At 43.3% G+C, this 22,919-nt stretch overlaps 2 protein-coding genes across 14 annotated transcripts in view, besides 1 other annotated feature; one reads left to right on the top strand and one right to left on the bottom strand.

The window, feature by feature from the left end:
- The window catches only part of LRRC37A (leucine rich repeat containing 37A), an 89,751-nt gene that overhangs the window by 39,405 nt on the left and 27,427 nt on the right, over positions 1 to 22,919 (top strand). For 5 of the 12 annotated variants that reach the window (NM_014834.4, XM_047437196.1, XM_047437197.1 and 2 more), the window contains exons 1-5: positions 7,683 to 10,294; positions 12,346 to 12,417; positions 15,190 to 15,261; positions 18,061 to 18,132; positions 18,781 to 18,861. In NM_014834.4, coding sequence (NP_055649.4) covers positions 7,686 to 10,294; positions 12,346 to 12,417; positions 15,190 to 15,261; positions 18,061 to 18,132; positions 18,781 to 18,861 — 2,906 coding nt within the window. In that variant the 5' untranslated portion in view covers positions 7,683 to 7,685. Of the gene's footprint in view, positions 1 to 6,541; positions 6,582 to 7,288; positions 7,389 to 7,682; positions 10,295 to 12,345; positions 12,418 to 15,189; positions 15,262 to 18,060; positions 18,133 to 18,780; positions 18,862 to 22,919 lie in introns of those variants that run through there. The other 7 variants (XM_047437198.1, XM_047437199.1, XM_047437204.1 and 4 more) reach the window with 5 other exon arrangements.
- The window catches only part of ARL17B (ARF like GTPase 17B), an 87,604-nt gene that overhangs the window by 13,265 nt on the left and 51,420 nt on the right, over positions 1 to 22,919 (bottom strand). For both annotated transcript variants that reach the window (NM_001103154.2, NM_001352769.1), the window contains exon 4: positions 12,078 to 12,217. In NM_001103154.2, the coding sequence (NP_001096624.1) occupies positions 12,099 to 12,217 (119 nt within the window). In that variant the 3' untranslated portion in view covers positions 12,078 to 12,098. The remainder of the gene's footprint in view (positions 1 to 12,077; positions 12,218 to 22,919) is intronic.
- Positions 716 to 1,216: an enhancer, noted in NCBI's record as "H3K27ac hESC enhancer chr17:44365530-44366030 (GRCh37/hg19 assembly coordinates)". NCBI's record gives its function as "activates a minimal SCP1, AML or CMV promoter by ChIP-STARR-seq in primed H9 embryonic stem cells {active_cell/tissue: H9 hESC(primed)}" and the evidence as "EXISTENCE:reporter gene assay evidence [ECO:0000049][PMID:30033119]".

A 22,919-nucleotide genomic window follows, 5' to 3' on the forward strand; every position in this document is an offset into this window, starting at 1 on the left:
GAAGTTACACTACAAGGACCATGCAGGTCAGCCAGGTGTAGAAGATAAACGGTCAAAATATGCTAAGAAGAAGAAAACTAAGAAAGGTACATAGAGCAATTCAATCTCTACCAGGTTTTCTGAATAAACATTGGAATTTAATCGAATTAAAAATAATTTCTCATAATGGAATATGGCATGGGCCACTTTTTCAGTTAATATAATGTTTGTGACAATGTGGGCAGTGGCCTGGCTAGTTAACGGGTAGGGAACGTGGAAGGAGCTGCTTCAGTTCAACATCGGGGACATGGTATGGGGAAGGATGCAAAGATAGTTATCCAGAATCTGTCTACACTGCTTGGCAGGGTCTACACTGCTTGGCAAGGCGGAGCTGTGTAAGTGTGTGATTGTGGAGTGCACAGTGGCCTCTGTAATAAAAGACGTAATGACAAAAGAAAAAGTAAATGTAACAAACGCTTATACAGTGTGTCTACAAGTGTTGATAGGCACAGTGTAGGAACATCATGTCAAAGTCATAGTGAGAATTACCATGAATCACAGGGAAGCAGGCTGGCTTTGCCGATACCATTGGCACTCCTAGCTCTACCAAGGCATTTCTTGGTAGATTCACCTAGAGGAATGGAAGTCGTCCTCAAGCTTCAAATTGACCTGCTTCATGAATGTGAAGGAATAATACATGGCTATGTAGTTTATCCTGTTACCACTAACTTTTTTCTTTTGTCTCGCTGTATAACCCAGGCTGCAGGGCAGGGGCAGGATCACGGCCCCCTGCAGCCTGGACCTCCCAGGCTCACATGATCCTCCCACCTCAGCCTCCCGAGTAGCTGGGACTACAGATGTGCACCACCAGGCCCGGCTTTTTTTTTTTTTTTTTTTTTTTGACGGAGCCTTGCTCTGTCTCCCAGGCTGGAGTACAGTGGCATGATCTCGGCTCACTGCAACCTCTGTCTCCTGGCTTCAAGCAATTCTCTTGCCTCAGCTTCCCAAGTAGCTGGGATTACAGGTGTGTGCCACCACATCTGGCTAATTTTTGCATTTTTGGTTGTGCCACGTTGGCCAGGCTGGTCTCAAACTCCTGACTTCAGGCGATCCACCTGCCTTGGCCTCCCAAAGTCCTGAGATTACAGGTGTGAGCCACAGGGCCCAGCCTCTTTTCATATTTTTTAAAAAAAGTTTTAATGAGCAGTGAGGACGACCAGAGGTCACTTTCGTCACCATCTTGGTTTTGGTCGGCTTCTTTACTGCATCTTGTTTTTTCTTTTTTTTTTTTTTTGAGACTGGGTCTCACTCTGTCACCCAGGTTAGAGTGCAGTGGCACAATCTCGGCTCAGTGTACCCTGCACCTCCCAGGCTCAAGTGATCCTCCCACCTCAGCCTCCCAAGTACCTAGGACCACAGGCACGTGCCACCAAGCTCAGCTAATTTTTTGTATTTTTGTTAGAGACAGGGTTTCACCATGTTGGCCAGGCTAGCCTTGAACTCCTGACCTCAGGTGACCCATCTCAGCCTCCCAAAGTGCTGGGATTACAAGCGTGAGTCTCTGTGTCTGGCCAACATACTATTGTCTCAATATGCATTTTGCCATACTTTTTAAGTGCATCTCTTCTGCTATCCTGTAGTACAACTTACTCTTGGAAATGATCAAAGCAAACTATATTACCCTAGGGACAAACCCATTGTGATTGGCATCCACGAACAAATTTGGTGTAAAGAAATCATATCTATGACCAAGAGGGTTTCTTTCTTATTTGGAGATAAGAGTCTCACTTTGTCACCCTGCCTGGACTGCAGTGACATAAACACGGCTTGCTATAGCCTTGACCTGCCAGGCTCAAGTGATCCTCCTGCCTCAACCCCTTCAAATAGCTACAGGTGCTCACCACCATGCCCAGCTACTTTTTTTTTTGTAGAGATGGAGTCTTGCTGTGTTGCCCAGGTAACTTACCTCCTGAGCTCAAGTGATCTGCCTGCCTTTGCCTCCCAAAGTGCTGGGATGACAGTTATGAGCCACTTGTACCCAGCCATAAGAATATTTCTTAAAATCTGACTTAAAATTTTTTTAAAAAATTCTTTTAGAGATAGGGTTTCACCATGTTGGCTAGGCTGGTCTCGAACTCCTGACCTCAGGTGGTCTGCCCACCTTGGCCTCCCAAAGTGCTTGGATTACAAGTGTGAGCCACTGTGCCCAGCCAAAATCTGACACATTTATAAATTTCTACAATAATTTTAAATACCAAAAATATTCCCAAAACGTTTCATCATGATTATTTTTCTTCCTAAATCTTATAGTCTCTCAGAAAAATAACTTAGCCCACGTTTCCTTTAAAGAGTTTTTAATTTTTTTAATGAAGGGCCGAATTAATTTTATTTTTCCTTCTTTGAAAAAATTCATCCAGCACACTGGCTCACACCTGTAATCCCAGCAGTTTGGGAGGCCGAGGGCGGAAGATCACTTGCGTCCAGGAGCTCAAGAGCAGCCTGGCCACATGGTGAAACCCCATCTCTACTAAAAATACAAAAATGAGCCAGGTGTGGTGGCGCATGCCTGTAGTGCCAACTACTTGGAAGGCTGAGGTTGGAGGCTCCTTTAAGCCTGAGAGGTGAAGACTTCAGTGAGCTGTGATGGCACCACTGTGCTGCAATGTAGATGACAAAGTGAGACCCTGTCTTAAAACAAAACAAAACAAAACTTTTTTTTGGAGACAGGGCCTCACTTGATCGCCCCGGCTAGAGTACAGTGGTGCTATCATGGCTCACTGCAGGGTCGACCTCCTGGGGTCAAGCAGTCCCCTGGCCTCAGCCTCGCCAAGTAGCTGAGACTACAGGTGTGCATCACAACACCCAGCAAATTCCTTTTTGTAGAAACAGGGTTTTGCCATGTTGCCCAGGCTGGTCTCAAAATCCTGGCCTCAAGTGATCCACCCACCTCAGCCTTTTAGAATGCTGGGATTACAGGCTGTGAGCCACAACTCTCTTGGCCTATAAATGATAATTTAAGTGAATCTCTGAAGCTACAGTTTTTTGTTTCGAGATGGAGTCTCGCTCTGTCGTGCAGTGGCATGATCTCGGCTCACTGCAACCTCCGCCTTCTGGGTTCAAGTGATTCTCCTCCCTCAGCCTCCCAGGCAGCTGGGATTACAGGTGCCTGCCACCATGCCTGGCTAATTTTTGCATTTTTAGTACAGACGGGGTTTCGCCCTGTTAGCCAGGCTGGTCTCGAACTCCTGACCTCAAGTGATCGTTTCACCTCAGCCTCCCAAAGTGCTGGGATTATAGGCATGAGCCATTGCGCCCAGCCTCTGAAGCTATAGTTTTATAGATTCTAAAGCAGAGACTTCATATAGATGTCTATGAAAAGCCAAAAACAAACAAAAAACCCACAGGAAAACCTGATTCCCCACGCCAAAATTTCAAGGATTTGCCTAAAGGTAAGGTCCATCTGTACCTGAAATAAGTTTGCTGTGCCTCTTTTTCTGCAGGGTAACCCAGCCCTATGCACCAATCATTACATGACTACCTCAGGAAGCTTTTAAATATATCACAAATATTTTACCAAATAAACCTGAATGGCCCTGGTTTAATGAATCTGCTTCTCTGTCTATAGACTATCTAGTCTCATAAAGTCAAAAGAGAAGCAATGTGACAAATTATTCAACAGCCCTTCTCTATTTATAGAGAGAGACTGAACTTCTTCTTTGGTTAGAAAGAAAACCTTGAGTTTCATTTCCTAGTTCATATATTTTTATAACATCGTGGGACGGATTTTGGGAGAACCAAGATGGTATAGCGGGTGCACACTTTGATCCTCCCTCTCCCTTCAAGAACATACAAGTGAGAGTAAAATATAAAAAAGAGAAATTGAAAAGACATAGTCATGCTTAAATAAGTTACAACAATCTCAATGGAACAGACACAAAACTGTGAGCAGGACTAAAACTGCAGGCCTTCTAGACTCCAGATGCAGAAGGAGGAAGTGGTGGCTGAACACTAACAGTAAGAGTTTCTCGGGGGTAAGGGAGGCTAACATGCTGTGTGTGAGGCAGTGATAGGCTCCCTGCTGGAAGTTAAGGGTTGACTGGGCTACACTGGGCTTCAGGAGAGAAGAAAACAACACTCCTCTCACTCAAAATAAGCTTGCAAAATTCAAATGTTTGAAAATGAAAATGTGTAATATGAAAAAAAGACAACCAGGGCCCATACGGTGGCTCATGCCTATAATCCCAGCACTTTGGGAAGTCGAGGAAGGAGGATCACTTGCTTGAGCCCGGGAGTTTGAGACCAGCCTGGGCAACATGGCAAAACCTTGTCTCTACAAAAAAACAATGACAACAACAATAACAACAAAAAACACCCCAAAATTAGCCAGAGATGGTGGCATGGCACGCGCCTGTAGTCCCAGATACTTGGGAACCTGAGGCGGAAGGACTTACTGATCTGGGTAGGGGGAGGCTGCGATGGGGTGTGATTGCACCGCTGCACTCCAGCCTAGGAAAAAGAATAAGGCCCTGCTTCTCAAAAAGCAAAAAAAAAAAAAAAAAAGCCAATAAAATCAATGGTCTAATCTGAATTCACTCCAAATGAAATTATAGAGCAATTTGACAGGCCAGGCCCAGTGGCTCACACCTGCAATCCCAGCACTTTGAGAGGCTGAGGAGGGAGGATCACTTGAGGTCAGGAGTTCAAGACCAGCTTGGCTAACATGGTGAAACCCCGTCTCTACTAAAAATACAAAAATTGGCTGGGTGTGGTGGTGGGCACCTGTAATCCCAGCTACTTGGGAAACTGAGGCATGAAAACCACTTGAACCCAGGAGGCGGAGGTTGCAGTGAGCCGAGATCATGCCACTGCATTCCAGCCTGGGTGACAGAGCAAGACACTCTCTCGAGGAAAAAAAAAAAAAAGAAAAGGAAAACAACTCAAGGGTTGGATAACATTGCCAGTATAACCATAATTCAAAACAAGCAGCAGAATTTGGAGGATAATTTGTTTCATTCTCAGGAAAATGTGAAACTCTGAAACTGCTTTTTGAGTGCAGGGTATTTCCGGGGCTTTTCCTAAAGTCTTAACCCTTGGCTCTGACCCCTTATTTGAAGTTTGGAGAGCAGAACCGAGGATTGTATTACTACAGTTGTGGACACAGGAGAGGGGTTAGTCTCCCCCCGCTCCAGGAGTAAGGGATGCTGGGCTGCTCGAACACAGGCCTTGTTAGAACTCCCTTCAAACAGGATCCCAGAGATGTGGGGAGAAGGTAACTGGCCTTAAGAATGATTGCGCTACAGCTTTCGAAAACTATAATGCCTTTCAAATATGGCTTATTGCTTGGATCTCAATATCTCCCACGTATCTTGGGTGGAATATTTTGCCGAAGATCTTTCTGTCAATCATTTACAATCATGTGCTGCAAAATGAAGTTTGGGTCAACAGTAGACCACATATATGATGGTGGTTCTGTAAGCGTATAATGGAGCTATCCCTATATAGGTATACCATTTTTATCTTTTTTTTTTTTTTTTTTTTTTTTTTGAGATGGAGTCTCGCTCTGTTGTCCAGGCTGGAGTGCAGTGGTATGATCCCAGCTCATTGCAACCTCCACCTCCCAGGTTCAAGTGATTCTCCTACCTCAGCCTCCTGAGTAGCTGGGATTATAGACACGCGTCACCACACTCAGCTAATTTTTGTATTTTTAGTAGAGATGGGGTTTCATCATGTTGGCCAGGCTGGTCTTGAACTCCTGAGCTCAAGTGATCCACCCACCTTGGCGTCCCAAAGTGCTGGGATTACAGGCATGAGCCACTGTGCCCAGGCCCCATTTTTATCTTTTACACAGTATTTTAACTATATATTTTCCATGTTTACATACACAAATACCTGCCATTCTGTGACAGTTGCCTTTAGTATTCAGTACAGTAACATACAGTACAGGTTTGTAGCCTAGGAGTCCTAAGCCATACCGTGTACCCTAGGTATGGTGGCTACACCACCTAGGTTTGTGTAAGTATACGCTATGATATTAGCACAATGGTGAAATCACCTAGTGACACATTTCTCAAGCTCCTCACGTGGCAAGCAATGCATGACTGCATATGAAAGCTCTTAAATAGAGATTGTTTCTAAATTAATCTCAAAACAGTCATTATTTACTATTTATGGAATTTTTTTTAAAAAAAGGAGCAAAAGTATCATTTCAGTGGGAACTTAACTTGGGGCTACAGTGTTTTATTTAACTTTTACCCCAAAGTTGCAAAGTGTTTTGAAATTTTTCCCTGTAAAATAATTATTTTAATTCAATTTAAATAAAACCCACCAAGGAGACTTCAAGCTTTAAGAAGTCTAGCTTCCTGTGAAATGTGAGAGGAAGTCAGCACTCATTTCAGAAATCTGATTATAACGATAGCTCCATCCCTAAATGAGGTGAATCTTGGACTCTCTTCCATTTTATTTTATTTTATTTTTTTGAGATGGAGTTTCTCTCTTGTTGCCCAGGCTGAAGTGCAATGTTGCGATCTCGGCTCACTGCAACCTCTGCCTCCCAGGTTCAAGTGATTCTCCTGCTTTGGCCTCCTGAGTAGCTGGGATTGCAGGTATGCACCACCACACCTGGCTAATTTTGTATTTTTAGTAGAGACGGAGTTTCACCATGTTGGTCAGGCTGGTCTCGAACTTCTGACCTCAGTGATCCCCCCACCTCGGCCTCCCAAAGTTCTGGGATTATGGGTGTGAGCCACCACACCCGGCCCCCCTTCAATTTTAAAGCCATCACTATGCACCCTATGTCTATGCCAAGCACTAAAATAAGATGAAGCACCTTCTTGGAGTTTACATGCTGGTAATTATGCCAGACAGTAATAAAATAGGTAAGAACGGCTGTGGGGGAAGTCAGCTGGGTTCTAGTTACAGTCGCATTTCAGGAAATGATTTAACATGCTGACTTTAACAACCTAAGCCTCTTCTCCATGTGTGCACACAGGGTAGATCTCTGAACACAGGTGACCCTAGAAGTGCTGTAACTTCTAGGGGAATGGCTGTGTTGAGTCAAGGCAGGATGACAGTTCAGCCTCCTCCCAGGCTAGTGCAAAGGGCTCTTCACTCGGATTAAAACCTTCTCTCCCAGACCGAATTGCCAACTCCCAACACCCCTCCTACAGAAAATTTGGAGTCCTCGCTTATTCCCTGGCAGCCCCTACCTAATAGGGTGGTGAATTAATTATCAAACATGCGACAGTTTAGCGAAAATGGCAACACTTTGGAATAAGTGACTGTAATGTGCATCCTGGCGCCCATTTTGCAGGTCAGTTGCTCTCCCTGGAAGGAAGAGTGTTCTCGGATTTCACCTTAAAGGAGGAAGGCTGCCAGAACTGAACTAGCACTTCTGAATATCCTGAGGCGAGGTCCGGTGACTTCCTTGGGAAGCTCTGCCGCGCCCCCACCCCACCCTACCCCACCCTACCCCACCACAGCAGGCGCTGGAGTCCTGGGACCACCAGGGTCTGAGGCCCAAATCCTTCCTCACTAAGGGGAGGAGAGGGGTGTTCCGGCAGGGCAGGATGGGAAGGCGTGCTTGGGCGGGATTGTGACATAAGAGTGCCCTGGTGACATGGAGCAGATCTGTGACATAAATAAAGGTGTCATAAAGACAGGGCGGGGCTCACGCTTAGAAGGGGCACGAGCGTCTCGGAGCTGCCAGAATGTCTTCTGCTCAGTGCCCGGCACTAGTGTGTGTCATGTCCCGGCTGCGTTTCTGGGGCCCATGGCCCCTCCTTATGTGGCAACTATTGTGGCTACTAGTCAAGGAGGCTCAGCCTCTGGAGTGGGTCAAGGACCCGCTCCAGCTCACCTCTAATCCCCTGGGGCCGCCTGAGTCCTGGTCTTCCCACTCCTCCCATTTCCCACGGGAATCTCCCCATGCGCCTACTCTCCCAGCAGACCCGTGGGACTTTGATCACCTGGGGCCCTCTGCTTCCTCAGAGATGCCAGCCCCACCCCAGGAATCGACTGAAAATTTGGTTCCATTCCTGGACACCTGGGATTCAGCTGGAGAGCAGCCCCTGGAGCCAGAGCAGTTCTTGGCTTCACAGCAGGATTTAAAGGACAAGCTGAGTCCACAGGAAAGGCTCCCTGTTTCGCCCAAGAAGCTGAAGAAAGATCCAGCTCAGCGTTGGAGCCTTGCTGAGATTATTGGAATTACACGCCAATTATCCACACCTCAGAGTCAGAAACAGACTTTGCAGAATGAATATTCCAGTACAGATACACCGTATCCCGGTAGCCTGCCTCCAGAACTCCGGGTGAAGTCAGATGAGCCTCCAGGGCCCTCTGAGCAAGTTGGACCTTCTCAATTCCATCTAGAGCCCGAAACTCAAAATCCAGAGACCCTTGAAGACATCCAGTCCTCTTCACTCCAGCAAGAAGCCCCAGCACAGCTTCCACAGCTCCTTGAGGAAGAACCTTCTTCAATGCAGCAGGAGGCCCCAGCTCTGCCTCCAGAGTCCTCTATGGAGAGTCTAACTCTACCGAATCATGAGGTGTCAGTTCAACCTCCAGGTGAGGATCAAGCTTATTATCACTTGCCCAACATTACAGTTAAACCTGCAGATGTGGAGGTTACCATAACTTCAGAGCCTACCAATGAGACAGAATCTTCCCAAGCCCAGCAGGAGACCCCAATTCAGTTTCCAGAGGAGGTGGAACCTTCTGCAACCCAACAGGAGGCCCCAATTGAGCCTCCAGTTCCTCCTATGGAGCATGAACTTTCCATCAGTGAGCAGCAGCAGCCAGTTCAGCCTTCTGAGTCTCCTAGGGAGGTCGAATCTTCTCCGACCCAGCAGGAGACCCCAGGTCAGCCTCCAGAACATCATGAAGTCACAGTTTCACCTCCAGGTCACCATCAAACTCATCATTTAGCTTCACCCAGTGTCTCTGTGAAGCCTCCAGACGTGCAGCTCACCATAGCAGCAGAGCCTAGTGCAGAGGTGGGAACTTCTCTAGTCCACCAGGAGGCTACAACTCGGCTCTCAGGGTCAGGTAATGATGTAGAACCTCCCGCCATCCAGCACGGGGGCCCACCTCTGCTTCCAGAGTCATCAGAAGAAGCTGGACCTTTAGCAGTTCAACAGGAGACTTCATTTCAATCTCCGGAACCTATTAATAATGAGAACCCCTCTCCAACCCAGCAGGAGGCTGCAGCTGAGCATCCACAGACCGCTGAGGAGGGTGAGTCTTCCCTAACCCATCAGGAGGCCCCAGCTCAGACTCCAGAGTTCCCTAATGTAGTTGTAGCTCAACCTCCAGAGCATTCACACCTGACTCAAGCCACAGTTCAACCTTTGGATCTGGGGTTTACCATCACTCCAGAATCCAAGACAGAGGTTGAACTTTCTCCAACCATGAAGGAGACCCCAACTCAGCCTCCTAAGAAAGTTGTACCCCAACTTCGAGTATATCAAGGGGTAACAAATCCAACACCAGGTCAGGATCAAGCTCAGCATCCAGTGTCACCCAGCGTTACAGTTCAACTTTTGGACCTGGGACTTACCATCACTCCAGAACCTACTACGGAGGTTGGACATTCTACACCCCCGAAGAGGACTATAGTTTCTCCAAAGCATCCTGAGGTGACACTTCCACATCCAGACCAGGTTCAGACTCAGCATTCACACCTGACTCGAGCCACAGTTCAACCTTTGGACCTGGGGTTTACCATCACTCCAAAATCCATGACAGAGGTTGAACCTTCTACAGCCCTGATGACTACAGCTCCTCCTCCAGGACACCCTGAGGTGACACTTCCACCTTCAGACAAGGGTCAGGCTCAGCATTCACACCTGACTCAAGCCACCGTTCAACCTCTGGACCTGGAGCTTACCATAACTACAAAACCTACTACAGAGGTTAAACCATCTCCAACCACGGAGGAGACCTCAACTCAGCCTCCAGACCTGGGACTTGCCATCATTCCAGAACCCACTACAGAGACTGGACATTCTACAGCCCTGGAGAAGACTACAGCTCCTCGTCCAGACCGGGTTCAGACTCTGCATCGAAGCCTGACTGAAGTCACAGGTCCACCTACTGAACTAGAACCTGCTCAGGATTCACTGGTGCAGTCTGAAAGTTACACCCAAAATAAGGCTTTAACTGCACCAGAGGAACACAAGGCCTCCACAAGCACCAACATATGTGAGCTCTGTACCTGCGGAGATGAGATGTTGTCATGTATTGATCTCAACCCAGAGCAGAGGCTCCGCCAAGTGCCTGTGCCAGAGCCCAACACCCACAATGGCACCTTCACCATCTTGTAAGAATCACTTTTCCTCAATTGTCCTCTGTGTCCTGCCTGACATGGCAGCCTTTTCCTGGAGGCCTTCCTGGGCCTTCTTTATCTCCCCAAGCCATATGGACAACTGACTTTCTGCTTTCACCTTTGCTTGTCAACTCTCCCTTCTCCTCATTCTCTTTTAATGTTAGGCCCCTTCTCCAGTCTTTTCCTTTTACTCTGGTCTTTTACTCGTTTTTGTATCCATTTTTATTTAGCCCCATCACATCATTGCTTAACCGCTGCTCTCCTCCCATTTTCGCTTCACCCTCTTTACAGCAGCCTGTCCCTCTCCCGATCTCAATGATGATGCTCTAAGTCGTTAAGAGTTGATTCCGGAGCCAGGCTGCCTGGGTTTGAACCCAGATCTATTTATTAGCTTGGTGACCCAGAGCAAGTTATTCTGCCTGTGACTCAATTTCCTCACCTTTAAACTGGGGATCATGCTAGTTAGCATTTCATAGGATTGTTGTGAAATTTAGGTGAGTGAATATATGAAACACTTCATCAGTGCTTACCATATGTAGGAGAGTTGGCTGTTCACATGATTATTCAGTCCTTTAGTTTTGTCCAGAACTCATTTTTGTCCCTAGCTTTCTATATGTAGAACTAGTTTTATGTCAAACCCAGGGCCAAGTATGCTACTGTCTCCAGAACACGAAAATGATAGGAGGGAAGAGGCTGGGTGTGGTGGCTCACGCCTGTAATCCCAGCACTTTGGGAGGCCGAGGCGGGCGGATCATGAGGTCAGGAGATCAAGACCATCCTGGCTAACATGGTGAAACCCCATCTCTACTAAAAATACAGAAAAAAATTAGTCAGGCATGGTGGTGGGTGCCTGGAGTCCCAGCTACTCGGGAGGCTGAGGCAGGAGAATGGCGTGAACCTGGGAGGCAGAGCTTGCAGTGAGCCGAGATTGCACCACTGCACTCCAGCCTGGGCGACAGAGCAAGACTCCATCTCAAAAAAAAAAAAAAAAAAAAAATGATAGGAGGGAAGAAAGAGAATAGGCATAAAAAGGGAGGTATATATAATTAAGTACTAAAAGATAATGCAGACCATTGGTGCTAGAATTTGCCAGAATCTGTGATCCTTGAGGTGTGGAGATGCTACATGGGTAAGCTAAAACTTTACTTGGGTCTTAAAGAGTAGCTATAATTTGTTAAATAGAAGAAAAATGGGAGTACAGTCTAGGCAAACGCATGGCTACAGGTATGGTTGGAATTTAGTAGACCAATGTGGCTACAAAGAATTAGGTGAGGGAGCAATGAAGATACGATTCTGTAAAACCTTGATTATCAGCTATAGGAGTTTGAAAGTTACACAGTGAGGTATGGAAAGCCATTGAAAGTTTCCAAGCAAGAGAGATTACATGATCAAAACAGGAAGATTATTTTATTTTGTTTTTTGCATTATGTGCAAGTGTAGACATGCAGAGGATTGTTTTAGAATCCATATGTAAAGTGTCCAAAAGGAAAAGCTTAATTCAGGGAGACAAAATAGAAAGGTCTAGCAAAATCTAGGAGTGAAGTGTGAAGGGGCCAAATCAGATCAGTTGTAATAGGAGTGGAAAGAAAAAGCCTAGGATGTTTCAACAGAGGGCACTGGGCCAAAGCTTTGGTGTTACCTGGCATAGGGTTTCTTTCTTCTCATTTGTTGATAATGATAAGCTTTTGCCCATATTTCTGTGGAATTATTTACCATTTTGGTACTGATTTGTAGAAGTCTGTTTAGACACATAAGTGCTTTTAGATAAAATACTTACATTCAAAGTAATTAACTGGCATCATCTGTCCAAGAGATGGGATGGATAAGAAGTTAAGCTTCCAGGAGATGCCTCATCATTTGTGCCAGTGACCCCGCATAATTTCTTGATGAATTGTGCAAACTGGGAAGCTGATAGCTCTGGAAATGAGAAAGCAGGTGTTATTTTCTGTTTCTGAATATCCCCAACAAGGTTGCAATGATTCTTTTACTTATCGTGTTCATTGTTTTCCTACCTATTCAAGGATATAAACTGTGTTTCTTCACAGAAATTTCCAAGGAAACTATATTTCTTACATTGATGGAAATGTATGGAAAGCATACAGTTGGACTGAGAAACTGTGAGTATATTCTCTCCAAATATGACAAAAAGCTAACTGCATTGTAAGATCCTTCTTGGTCCAGAATTTTGAGGTCGGTACCTCTGAGGAAAGATATTTCTCCTCCATGCCCCAAATCAACCACTGTTGATTGCAATTGTATGGTCATTTTAAAATTAAATTTGGTAGGCTCTCTTTAAAATAAGAGGCAATTTAAATTTATTTTTTATCATACAAATAGTACATGGTTATATTCCTTTTTGTTCTCTTTTTTGTTTTTTTTTTCAGAGACAGGGTCTTACTTTGTCCTCTGGGCTGCAGTGCAGTGGCACAATCACAGCTCACTGCAGCCTTCACCTCCCAGGCCCAAGTGATCCTCTCACCTCAGCCTCCCCAGTAGCTGGGACCACAGGTGCATGCCACCACACCCACCTAATTTTGTATTTTTTGTAGAGACAGGGTCTTCCTATGCTGCTTAGGCTGGTCTTGAACTCCTGGGCTCAAGTGATCCTCCCACCTTGGCCTCTTAAAGTGTTCATATTACAGGCATGAGCCACCACCCGCAGCCCATGATTCCATTTTTAATATATAAAAATGCAATAACAGATATAACAAAAACTCTCCTTGTGCCCTACTCCCTCATCCCTGAAGTAATGCTACTCTGCATTTAGTATACATGCTTCCAGACTTTTCCTCATTTACCTACATACATATTTACATAAAGCAAAATAGATTTGTTTTGTGGTTTTAAAATTTTTTCTTCGCATAAAGGGTAACATCTTGCAACTTGATTCTTTCACTTCATGATATGCCTTAGATTTCTTTCCTTCCCAGTACTTAGAGGGTCACCCCATTCATTTAAACTCCTGCATAATCCATAGTATGGATGCATCATGGTTTATTTAATAATTCCCCCATTGATGAATGTTTAGATTATGCTTAGTTTTCTTGTTACATGCATTGCTGCAATGAAATCCCTGTACATGCTTCTTTGTGAACATGTGCAAGTATTCCTGTAGCATAGATATCTGGAAATGGAATTCTTGGGGTGAAGACTATGTAGATATAAAATTTTAATTGCCTTCAAAAATTTTGTGCCAACTTACTCTATTGTCAGCAGAATATGACAGCATTCATTTCCCAACACCTTTTCACCGCTGGGTATTCTCCAACATTTTGCTGAAGTTATGGATGAATAAAAGGGATTCCATCTAAATGTGAATTTTTCTGATTACTCATGAATTTAATTTAGTATCTTTATATGTTTATTGAACATTTGTGTTTCTTCTCTGAGTTTTCTGGCCTTTGTTCATTTTCCTGTTGAATTGTTTTATCATTTTCTTACTGATTTATAGAAGGAATTGGTTTAGACACATAAGTGATTTTGGAAAAAATGCTTACATTCAAAGTAACTGACATTTTTCACAACAGTTTGTGTGTCACATCATTATTTCAATGTATATAGACAAGCCACGATGAGTTCTAAATTAAAAATAAACATATGCTAGGCGCGGTGGCTCACGCCTTTAATCCCAGCACCTTGGGAGGTAGGCGGATCACCTGAGGTCAGGAGTTTGAGACCAGCCTGGCCGATAGGGCGAAACCCCATCTCTACTAAAAATACAAAAAGTAGCCAGGCGTGGTGGTGGGTGCCTGTAATCCCATCTACTTGGGAAGCTGAGGCAGGAGAATTGCTTTATTTATTTTTTCAGATGGAATTTTGTTCTTGTTGCCCAGGCTGGAGTGCAATGGTGCGATCTTGGCTCACTGCAACCTCCACCTCCCGGGTTCAAGCGATTCTCCTGCCTCAGCCTCCTGGGTAGCTGGAATTACAGGTGCCCTCCATCACACCCAGCTAATTTTTATATTTTTAGTAGAGACAGGGTTTCACCATGTTGGCCAGGCTGGTCTCAAACTCATGACCGTGGGTGATTCACCCACCTTGGCTTTCCAGAGTGCTGGGATTACAGGCATGAGCCACCACGCCAGGCCAGAACTACATTTTAAAAACAAGAAAATTATTACAAAGGTCAGGATAGTGGTTACCTATTAGGGTTAGAGAGAGGGATATGATTGGAAAGGGGCACACTGGGGCTTCTGGCATGCTAGCAATGATCTTTTGTAATGATGTTTACATGGGTATCTGCTTCATAATTATTAAACTGAATATTTTGGCCAGGTGAGGTGGCTCATGTCTGCAGTCACAGCACTTTGGGAAGCAGACACAGGAGGATCACTTGAGCCAGGAGTTTGAGACCAGTCTGGGAACAGAGTGAGACCCTGTCTCAAAAATTAAATTAAATTAAATATAAACAACATTTATGTTATGTGCACTTTATGCACATTATAGTTCTCCAATTTTTTTGATGGGGGGAAAAAGGTTGAATGGCTTCACTTGCAGTCCTGACATGGTTCCATGTGGGGCTTTCATAATAAGGTTTGGGAAAAGAGAGGAGGAAATGGAGGTTCTGCTGATCTTGGTGCCACCCAGAGTTGGATTCTAAAAGGGATTTTGTGATCTAGAGAGGAGGCATGAAATAATAGAATTTGGTGGGAAGAAACCCACTCTTCAAGGGGTGTGCTTGAGTGTGTGTGTGTGTGTGTTTGTGGTGGTGGTGGAGAGAGATGGACACAAAAAGGAAAATATAAGAAAAGGTTTGAATGAAAGCAGAGCAGATCCCACCATCTTGAAGTGACCATGACCCAGCTTTCCTCCACATGCAGGAGATGGTTCTGTGTAGCAAATAGTTGTAGTTTGCATTTTAATCTAGAAATAACTTCTTCATTTTCCAGAATTCTCAGAGAAAATAACTTGACTGAATTACACAAGGATTCATTTGAAGGCCTGCTATCCCTCCAGTATTTGTAAGTTAGTTAATTATATTTATGAGTTTTTAGTCATATTATCTGTAAAATGAATAAGGGGTTCAAATTAGATAATCTCTCAGATTTCTTTGAGCAATAAAATTCTGCAATTCTGTAAGTTTGTATAGGGTCTCAGCCCATCTCTAACACTAGCTACCTCCTGTGCATTTTCAGTTTTTAAGTTATATAGACAAAATACAGACAAAAACATTTCACATGGTAAGAAAATCTGAGCAGTGACTGACACCCATATGAACCTTGTTTTATAAGGGTTCACATATCATTCTTTTTCTATTCAGTCTACAACCAATAGATCCAATCTAATTTATGGTCTATTTTTAAATAGCCCATTAAGTTAAGAATGGGTTTTGCATTTTTAAAGGGACTGTGAAAGAAAAAGAAAAGAAACAAAGAAATATGCGAGAGATCATATGTGGCCCATAAAACCTAAAATATTTACTGTCTGACCTTCACCAAAAAAAATTTCAAAAAGTTGGTTTAGTAGGATGAAAGGAACTAAAGTTAACTTCAGATGGTTGCCTAAAGGAGAAGAAAATGGAGACCACCTGCATTCATTTGAACATCATTAATCCAGAATTTTTTGGTAATTTAATCGGAATTAAATTAACATTTAAATATTAAAAATAGCTGAATTATATCAATAATATTATCAAGAATATTAAGCTACCAAGAGAATAGACTGGTATTAAGGATTTCATTTCAGGAATTGTTATATTAAAACAGATGTTTAAAATGATGGTTAACTGATAGAGCTAGAAATGTTTACACTAAGAAGCACATCAGAAATGCCCCTAACTCTTCACTAATTACAAAATAACGATCGCCCCAGCCCTGTTACCAGAAAGGGATCCCTGTATTTCTGTCTGTTTAGAGACAAGAAGATACTATGTTCATTGCTATGAAAGCTTGATTCTTACCCTTTGTCCATAGAGGTCTGTATGTCATTAATCCTTATTAAGCTCATTAGTGATGCTCTTTTGCAAACAGATTCTTTCAAATATAGAAGGCTTAAGGAAAGTGGGTGTAAAGACCCTCAGGTGGATGCCAAAGTGCTACAGAGACCATGAAATAATAAAACTACATTTCCTTTAAAATAGTTATTTTCCTTCTACTCACTCCCCCAGCTATTCATTTATTTTACAAATATTTGAGTTTGCTTTATTTCCATGTGTCAGTTTTAAACATGGTGGGCAATGCAGATGAGCAAGACCTAGTCCATGCTTTCAGGGAGTTTATGCTCAGAAGAAATGGGATAAAAAATAACTACATTAAGAAGAAGAAATGGATGTGGGCACTAGGAGGGATAAATTGTTTCTCGAACATAGAAGAGGAAAAAATGCCTTCAATTTGGACCCAGGAGGATGTTACTAGAACAATGCCATTTGAATAGGACTTTGAAGGGCCATTGTGTAACATCAGACAGACATCTTGGGGAAAATACTCTAAACTTGCAAAAGGAAAATGGGAGGGCAAAACACAGGAAAGTATTCAAGGAATGCCATGAGTACCCGTAGAGTACAAGAAGGGAGAGTAGGAAAATGGAGCCAGATCTTCTAGAGCTTTGAATGCCAAGCTGAGGAGCCAACATGGGGAACCGTGTTACCACAGCAGCGCTGTAAGGTAGATCTGCATCACAGTCATTGAGAGGGCACGTTAGAACTCAGTTCTGGACTCCACCCTCGTAGTTACTGATTCAGTTGGTCTAGAGTGGGACCAAGAATTTGCATCTTCAGTAATTTCCCAGGAGATGCTGGTCTTTGCAAGCCACTTCTGGAGAGTTTATATGATGACTGTGTGCAGGATAGTTTAGGTAGGGAGAGACTGGAGATGGAGATATCAGCCAGACAACGTTACACCATCCAGGTAAAGAGGGAGGGACAAACTCCATCACTGTATAACTGAAGAAATTTTTTTTTATGAAATATTAAAGCAATACAAAACCAAAAATGAATTTCTATTAATATGATAGAAATTAATTCTATTAATATGATTTGAATTAGTTCAAAGTTATGTATTAGGTAAAGGGGTAGCTTCCTTTCAAATGATGTGAAAGGATGTCTTTTATTTCTTCTGATATTGAAGTGGCTTAGGAAAACAGACCTAAACTAAGAAGGTGTAGAAATGTGAGACTTGTTTGTTTGTTTGTTTGTTTGTTTGAGACGGAATCTCGCTCTGTCGCCCAGGCTGGAGTGCAGTGGTGCGATCTCGGCTCACTGCAAGGTCCGCCTCCTGGGTTCATGCCATTCTCCTGCCTCAGCCTCCTGAGCAGCTAGGACTACAGGCACGTGCCACTAGGCCCGGCTAATTTTTTTTTTTTTTTTGTAGAGACAGGGTTTCACCGTGTTAGCCAGGATGGTCTCGATATCCTGACCTCAGGATCTGCCAGCCTCGGCCTCCGAAAGTGCTGGATTACAGGCCTGAGCCACCGCACCCGGCCCGACTATTTTTTTTAATATTAGAAATTGTGTATATAGAGATAAAATCTTTGAGCTCATAATCTAAGATTTGATGACACTACAAAAGGGCATCTAATCAAGTCTACTGCTCTCAGGAAAAATTAATTCCAAAGTCTATTATGTTGTATATTTATTAAAACCATGAAGGTGAGACTCTAGGAGAGGTATGGGCAGGGTTAGGGGCTCTGGAATGTTCAAATACAAGTCCAAACGTTTAGAGTTGAGATGAAAAATAGGTATTCAGTATTATTCTAAACTCTTGCTGTTATTCATACCAATTGACATTTAATAACTAATCAAGGCAATATTTTCGTTTTCCTAGAGATTTATCCTGCAATAAAATACAGTCTATTGAAAGACATACATTTGAACCACTACCATTTTTGAAGTTTATGTAAGTTACAAATATAACTTGATTACATTTGGAATTTTTATAAAACTTAATTATAAACCTCTTTGCTATTCTTGAAATATGATTAAAATTTTACCAGTAGAAAGCTACTAAAATTATACAGCAAATCCTTTTTGTCTCTAGCAAGGATTATTGTGAGAATTATTACACAGATCTTAGTGAATCATCAGAGAGCAGTGGTTCTCAGGTGGTGTGATTTTGCACTCAGGTGGCATTTGGTAATGTCCGGAGACAGTTTTGGTTGACAAAACTGTGAGTGTGCTCCTGGCATCTGGTGGGCAAAGGCCAGAGATGCTGCTAAACATCCTTCAAGGTATAAGACAAACCCCCATGGCAAAGAGTTATATAGTCCAAAATGTTGATGGCACTGAAGTTGTGAAATCCTGTTCTAGAGAAATAAAGATCACTTAACACAGGTATTTACTGAACATTCACTGTTTTGTATCTAATGCACCACGTGTGCAGTGTTAAAGTATAAATCATAAGCCAGTATCTTCCACAGTCAGATTTCCTTAGTGCATAGAGAAAGGATTGAGGTTATGTTCCATCCTATATAAATTAGAATCATGGCAAATGATAAATGTTCTGAAATAATTTTTTTTTTCTTTGGCTTGTGTCTTTTTTTTTTAGAAATCTTAGTTGCAATGTAATTACAGAACTCAGCTTTGGAACATTTCAGGCCTGGCACGGAATGCAGTTTTTACATAAGTTGTAAGTGAAATAGAAGATGAATACATGTAAACAACTATTTATGTACAAAAACTCATACAATTATTGGGTAGCTGGGTATAAGCCCATTATCAACTCTGAAAAGCATGTCTTAAGATCCATTCATTTTTCTCAAATGGGGAAGCTAAGGTACAAAGAGGCCAAGAGACTTATGTAGCTTATATATGACCTCCTCTGCTTGTCCTAGTTCTGACCTATAGCATGGGCAAGAAAAGGCATCAAAGAAGTGACCCTCAAATTAGCCTTGTTGCTGGGCGGGGTGGCTCAGACCTGTAATCCCAGAACTTTGGGAGCCGAGGTGGGTGGATCACCCGAGGTCAGGAATTCAACACCAGCCTGGCCAACATAGTGAAACCCTGTCCCTACTATAAATACAAAAAAATTAGCTGGGCGTGGTGGTGCAGTTTTTTGCTCCCTGGAGGACTTTGTGTTAAGCTTCCTTCCTTGCAGCTAAATGTTGCAGACATCTAAGCAGTTAGAAACTCTGCATATGAGCAGGAATCAAATCCAAAGTTGTAGGGCCAGAATGGTGGCTCATGCCTGTAATCCCAGCACCTTGGGAGGCCAAGGTGGGAGGATCACTGGAGGTCAGGAGTTTGAGACCAGCCTGGCCAACATGGCAAAACCTCATCTCTACTAAAAATACAAAAATTAGCAGGTCATGGTGGCGGGCACCTGTGATCCTAGCTATCGGGAGGCTGAGGCACGAGAATGGCTTGAACCCAGGAGGGGGAAGTTGCAGTGAGCCGAGATTGTGCCACTACCCTCCAACCTCCCCTCCAGGCTGGTCTCGAACTCCTGTGACCTCAGGTGATCCGCCCACCTCAGCCTCCCAAAGTGCTGGGGTTACAGGTGTGAGCCACCATGCCTGGCCAAGATGGTGTTTATGTTAAGCTATTGTGCAAAAAAAAACTTTTGTAAAGAAAATATATCGCTGTATCTTAATTCCATATACTTTCCTGACTACTCTTCTACCATAATTGCAAAAATTCTATGATTTCTCTGTATAACATACCCATCAAATCAGAGTGGGTATATTCAGTGGCCTGAAGGGGACTCAAGGTGAAGATTCTCCTCTACATCTGACTTTAGAAAAGACTTTCCACCTGCCTTGTGGTTCAGAAATCTAGTTTCACACAGTTCATTTCAAGTTAGAGGGAGGCATTCAGGATGTGTCTGGACTAGAGCAGCAGTTTCTGCACATGCTCCCCTCTGTCCTCATTAATTTGCTGATGCATAACTTAGGAAAAGTACACTAAAGGTCTGTTTTTCTTTTGCCCTCACACCAGAGAACAGGCTCATTAGGTCCCTCCACCAAGAGGTTTAGGTAGCATCAATACAAATGTTTTAAACTCACCATCTTTACTAAGCACTTTATACCACTGGGAGTCCCTCATAAAAATCTGGTGGCCGGGAGCGGTGGCTCATGCCTGTAATTCCAGCACTTTGCTGAGGTGGGTGGATCACCTGAGGTCAGGAGTTCAAGACCAGCCTGACCAACATGGTGAAACCTGTCTCTACTAAAAATACAAAAATTAGGTGGGCATGGTGACAGGCAACTGTAATCCTAGGTACTCAGGAGGCTGAGGCAGGAGAATCACTTGAAACCAGGAGGCGGAGGTTGCAGTGAGCCGAGATGGCACCATTGCACTCCAGCCTGAGGGACAGAGTGAGACTCTGTCTCAAATAATAATAATAATATAATAATAATAATCATCATCATCATCTAGCCAGCTTCACTACAATTATGTAGGCAACACCAGGAAAACACTGGAATCACAGTTGATAAAAATTAATGAATTCACTCAAAAACATTCAGAGTGTCATGTCCATTTGTGCCAGGTACTGTACTAAGTGCTGGGGCTACAAAATCCATCTCAAAGACACACCAAGATGAGGACTTTGTCCCCAGGGGACTTTCATTCCTCAAGGAGGAAGCGGATGCTGATGGGAAAACATATGAGAGCCATGTGGGGATCTGTACGGCAGGGTGACAAGGAGAGGACAAAGCAGGAATGGGGGCTGGGTTAAGAAAGACTTGAGAGACACTAACTTGCTTATCTTGAGTTTCTGTGTTCATCTTAAACAACAGAAAAAGGCATTTGCTTCATGGTGATGAAAAAATCAGAGCTAGCTGATATTGGAAACTAGCACTCATTTCATATAAACAGAATAGAGCTGTACCCTTCAAACTAAGTCACAGTTACTTTCAAAGATTGGCACAAGGGTCTCAACACACCAAGTGTATGTTAGGGGCTGGGCTCCGTTGGAGTCAAATCTTCCTGGTAAACAAAGCTACACTGCAGTCATATTTGGCATATGTGACATATAGGCCCACTGCATTTCCTTCCAAAGGCAAGATGCCAAGGGAAGGTGCCAGTAATTTTATGACCAAAATGACACCATTTTGTGGTGTTTGTAAGTTGAAACAATATATTTCCCTGCATTACACAAGTTTATAAAAAACAAACAAAAAAAGAGGCCCCAGCTGTGGTTGATCGATGATGAATTGAATAGAGCCTAACCTTCCAGGCTTCTCACTTGCACAGGCCCTTCCAAGGTCCTGGGAGGGCCCCTGGAAATTTTTGTAGTCATAATTTTTTTAATGTTTTTACTAGATAAGGCTCAGGCCCCACAAAATCCTGAAATCATCCCTGGGTTCCAATAGTTACAACCCAGTAAATCTCTTGAATGAAGCCTCTATGTTATTGACAAATACTGACTGGCCAAGTTAGCAGGGTTAAAAGGTCTGTCTATTTTGAATCTGAAATCCATCTCAAAGACAGGCCAAGAGCTTATTAGTGGACTTAACTGGATTCTGCTGGCCCAAGCGCAGTAAAGTCAAACAACCATATCGAGGTTTTGCATTGGGGAAAGGAGGACATTTATTTGCAGGGCATCCAAGCAAGAAGGACCAGGCGGCTAACTATCAAAGTCCCTCACTGAATGGGGGCAATAATCATATCTCTTACAGATGAAATCATGAATGAAATGGTTTATGGAAAAGCAGCAATGGTTGATAATCCTAAATGTTAAGTATGTTTATATTTTTTCCCTGACTTTAAAGTGCTTCTCCTTCATTCCTATACACAGGTCCAGACTGATGGCTTATTTTTTAAAATTCTCTTAGTCACTTCATTGGTTCTAACAATAATTTTAGAAACTGGATGACTTTGCAATGTAGAAAGGCTATACTTTATTCAGATAGAGTACACTCACATATTGGCTTGTCTATGGCACATCGATATCATGCCAAGAATGTAAGCACTAAGAGAGAATAAGAGGAAAATCCAGGCTTTATCCCTATTGAATTATTTATCCCACTATTAGAATATTAGTGAGGTAGGTGTGGCCACACTGTGATGGCAAATTGAGCTTCGGTCACAAACATGCCTTACTGTTCCCCCCAGTCTACTGACATCAGCTTCCTTTACATAGCGGTAGATGCACAAAAGTTTGCACAGTTGAGGGTATTGTCATCATGTTTTGGTATGTACTGGAATCCTGGCAGCTTCTTCTCTGATTCGGAGAGGCGCAAACATTAAAGACAAAAAGAACAACTCGAGTCTGTCCTTTGGGGTGATTTAGGGTGGCTGTTTAAATTTGTAGTGGTTGAAAAGTCTTGAGATTGTCACACCTAGCAACTCTTATACTTTTCTTCTCTCAGCTGCAGCTTGTTCTTTTCACCTGTGTAACAAGCTGTCTTCTCTTCTCACAGAAGCTTAGCATTTCATCCTCTGCCCCATAGCATTTTTTCAATACTTAATTTACCAGGTGCTGTTTATGTTGTAGGCACCTAAGTACTTATACAAGTGAGATAACATGTCCGAAGTTCTTAGAACAGTGCTTGGCCTATGGTAAATGCTCCATACATGTTACCTCCTATGATACCTCATTTTCATTTTTCCAACAACTCTTGCGATGCGGTTATTATTATCATTTCTATTTTGTAGATGAGGAAGTTGAAACTCAGAGACGCTAGGTAATTTGCTAAGGTTCACATGGCTAATAAGTGGCAGAACCACTTACAAGCTTTGCAA

The sequence above is a fragment of the Homo sapiens genome, chromosome 17, assembly GCF_000001405.40.
Source record: "Homo sapiens chromosome 17, GRCh38.p14 Primary Assembly".
Classification (NCBI taxonomy): Eukaryota; Metazoa; Chordata; class Mammalia; order Primates; family Hominidae; genus Homo; species Homo sapiens.